This window comes from Homo sapiens, chromosome 12 (genome assembly GCF_000001405.40).
Source record: "Homo sapiens chromosome 12, GRCh38.p14 Primary Assembly".
NCBI lineage: Eukaryota > Metazoa > Chordata > Mammalia > Primates > Hominidae > Homo > Homo sapiens.
This window is the reverse complement of record NC_000012.12, coordinates 105864574-105868432: the sequence shown is the minus strand read 5'-3', so window position 1 is coordinate 105868432 and position 3859 is coordinate 105864574.

Genomic DNA, 3859 nt, shown 5'->3' with positions numbered 1-3859 from the left:
TCTTGAACCCCTCAAAGTCATCCATGAAGGTTGGAATCCAGATTCTTGTTAATGTTAATATTTTGACCTCTCCACATGAATCATGAATGTTCTTAATGGCATCTAGCATGTTGAATCTTTTCCAGAAAGTTTTCAATTTACTTTGCCCAGATCCATCAGAGGAAGCACTGTCTATGGCAGATATAGCCTTACAAAATGTATTTCTTAAATAATAAGACTTGAAAGTCAAAATCACTCCTTGATCCATGAGCTGGAGAATGGACGCTGTGTTAGCGGGCATGGAAACAACATTAATCTGCTTGTACATCTCCATCAAAGCTCTTGTGTGACAAGCTACATTGTCAAGAAACAGTAATATTTTGAAAGAAACCTTTTATTGTGAGCAGTAGGTCTCCACAGTGGGCTTAAAATATTCAGCAAAACAGATGTGCTGTCATCCAGGCTTTGTAGTTTCATTTATAGAACACAGGTAAAGTAGATTAAGCTGAATTCTTAAGGGCCCTAGGGTTTCCAGAATGATCAGTGAGCATGGGCTTCAACTTAAAATTACCAGCTGCATTAGCCCCTATGTGACAAGAGAGTCAGCCTGTCCTTTGAAGCTTTGAAGCCAGGCATTGAATTCTCTCTAGCTATAAAAGTCCTAGATGGCATCTTCTTCCATTAGAAAGCTGTTTCATCTATGTTGAAAATCTGTTGTCTAGTGTAGTCACCTTCATCAGTTATCTCAGCTAGATTTTCTGGATAACTTGCTGCAGCTTCTATATTTGTACTTGCTGCTTCGCCTTTCACTGGCTTCTTTCCTTAAACCTCATGAACCAACCTCTGCTAGCTTCCAACCCTTCTTCTGCAATTTTCTCACCTCCTTCAGTCTTGATAGAATTGAAGAGAGTTAGGGCCTTTCTCTGGATCAGGCTTTGGCTTAAGAAAATGTTATGGCTGGTTTGATCTATCTGGAACTTTTCACTGAAACTTTCTGCATATCAGCAAGAAGGCTGTTTTGTTGTCTTATTATTCATGTGTTCACTGGAGTAGCACTTTCAATTTCCTTCAATTTCCTTCAAGAACTTTCCCTTTGCATTCACAACCTTGCTAACTGTTTAGTGCAAGAGGCATAGCTTTCAGCCTATCTTGGCTTTTGATGTGCCTTCTTTACTAAGCTTAATCATTTCAATTTAAAGTGAGAGGTGTGTAACCCTTCCTCTCACTTGAACACTTAGAGGCCATTGTAGTGTTATTAATAGTTTTCATTTCAATATTATTGTGTCTCAGGGAATGAAGAGGCCTGAGGAGAGGGAGAAAGACAGGAGAGCAACAGTCGATGGAGCAGTCAGAACACACAACATGTATCATTTAAGCTTGCCATCTTCTACGGGCACAGTTCATGGCTCCTGAAAACAATTACAACAGTAACATCAATGATCACGGCTCACTGATCACCATAACAGATGTAATAGTGAAAAAGTTTGCAGTATTTCAAGAATTTCCAAAATGTGGCATAGAGACACAAAGTGAGTCCATCCTGTTGGAAAAATGATACCATTAGACTTGCTCGATGCAGGTTTGCTACAAACCTTCATTTTGTAAAAAACACAGTATCTGCGAAACAAAGTAAAATGAAGCACATTAAAACAAGGCATGTCTGCAATTGCTATGGCAAATGCTATGGTAACTAATGATAGCAATAAAAAATTATTAATTTCAAATACAAAATAATTCCCATACCTTTCGAATAGTTAATAAACGCAGAGATAGCATGATACTATTATGGATATTTTAAAAGGAGTAGGCTAGCTAGATAATTTTAAAAACTAATAGCCTCTTTGAGCCAACAAATCTTTAAAAAGTTTGAATAATAATACATGACAGGATGATAGAGAATAATTTAGACTAGAACGCTCATGCTTGTAGAATTATTTGTCACACCTCTTAAATAACCGTAAAGAACTTACGATATTTATTTTCCATTTAGGCCATGAGTCTTTGGAGAAAATGTTTTATTTGGAAGGCACCACCTCTTGTGAGGATGAATTTAAAAAATTAAAATGCCAAGTTTCCCTCCTCAAAGGGGAAAAACCTCCCAAATCATGTGAAGCACTATCTATGCTAAGTCCTCAGACGTAAAAAAGATACATAATAAGAAGGAAATAACAGCGTGTAGGAGAATGGTATGATACTCAAACTGTGTTTTATTCTGGTGGATCAAACTGTAAGAAACAGACTTCGCAGAAACCCATTTCAGCCCTGGGGCAGCAGAGGCCTCATTCTGCTTAGTCCCTTTCAGATAGGAAGAACAACCCTGGAGGTGGTGGCAGCATCGGAGCCAGTGGTTGCTATGGCACCGCTGGCCAGACAGCGCCCTGCTCCTCCATTCCTCAGTGCAAGTGTCTCAAATAGTCACCATAGTGACTGCTGCAGTGGATGGCACTGGAACATCACTGGACAGCACTCTGATATCACACTGGACAGCACTCTGACATCAAAGATTTGAAATTCAACTATTAATTTTCTTTTCTTCTTTTCTTTTTTTTAAGAGACAGGGTCTCGTTCTGTCATCCAAGCTGGAGTGAGGTGGCATGATCCTGGCTCATTGTAACCTCAAACTCCTTGAAGTGGACTAAAGCTGTCCTCTTGCCCTATCCTTCTGAGTAGCAGGAACTACGAGCAAGCGCCCCCACGCCTGACTAATTTTAACATTTTTTTGTAGGGACAGGATCTCATTGTGTTGCCCAGGCTCTGGCTAGTTTTTAATTTTTTTTTTTTTTTTTTTTTGTAGAAATGGGGATCTCACTGTATTTATTGTCCAGGCTGGTCTTGAACTCCTGAGCTCAAACAATTTTCCTGCCTCGACCTTCCAAAATATTGGGATTACAGGTGTAAGCCACCATGCCCAGCCTATTAATATTTTTAATAATACAAATGTAGTAATAAGTCAATCATTGATGGAATTTGAGATCCTTCAGGCCTCACCCACCTTGTTCCAAAACTGCTGTGGTCACTAGCTCTGCATGGCCCTGACGAGCTTCACGTAGGTGCTGACATCAGCGCCTGGCCTCAGGCCACGCATGAGCCTCTCACATCCACCTGGGCTTCCCTGTTGACTCCAAGGGACCTCACCGCATGCCCTGCTTGAGCAGCCTGGAGTCCAGGTGAGTTAGTACCCACTGTGGGGACAGCAACCAACTGAGGATAGGAGCTGGTTAATAAGTTCTTCCCCTTTCCACTGACCATGCATAGCCCTGAGACACAGTTCATGTATTTCTCAGGGACTAGTCCCACAGGATCCAACAGTCCGCACACATAGCTGTGGCCACTTCGGTAATGCATCCTCCTCTTGGCTCTCCCTCTGTGGTGGATTTAAAAATATGTCCACAAATTCTTTGATATTCATTCACTCAACAGATGGAGTTCCACTTTTCTCCCTTTGAGTGTGGGCTGGATTTATTGCCTCCCTTGTAGAGAATAGATTTTGGCAGAAGGTATGAGATGTCACATCCAAGGTTAGGTTATGAAACCACTCTGGCTTCTTTCTTGGGGTCTCTCTCTCTCTCTTTTAAGGGGCGAATTGTGTCCCCTCAAAATTCACATGTTGAAGCCCTAGTCCTTGTGCCTCAGAATGGGACTGTATTTGGAGATAAGGTCATGATCGAGGTGATTAAGTTAAAATGAGGCCACAAGGAAGGGCTCTACTCCAATGAGACTGTTGTATTTGTCAGAAGAGGATATCTGGACACCCAGAGAGACAGCAGGGATACCCATGCACAGAGGAAAGGCCATGTGAGGACGTGGTGAGAAGGCAGCTGTCTGCAAGCCAAGGGGAGAGGTCTCAGGAGAAAGTGGCTTGGCCGCCACCTTATTCTCG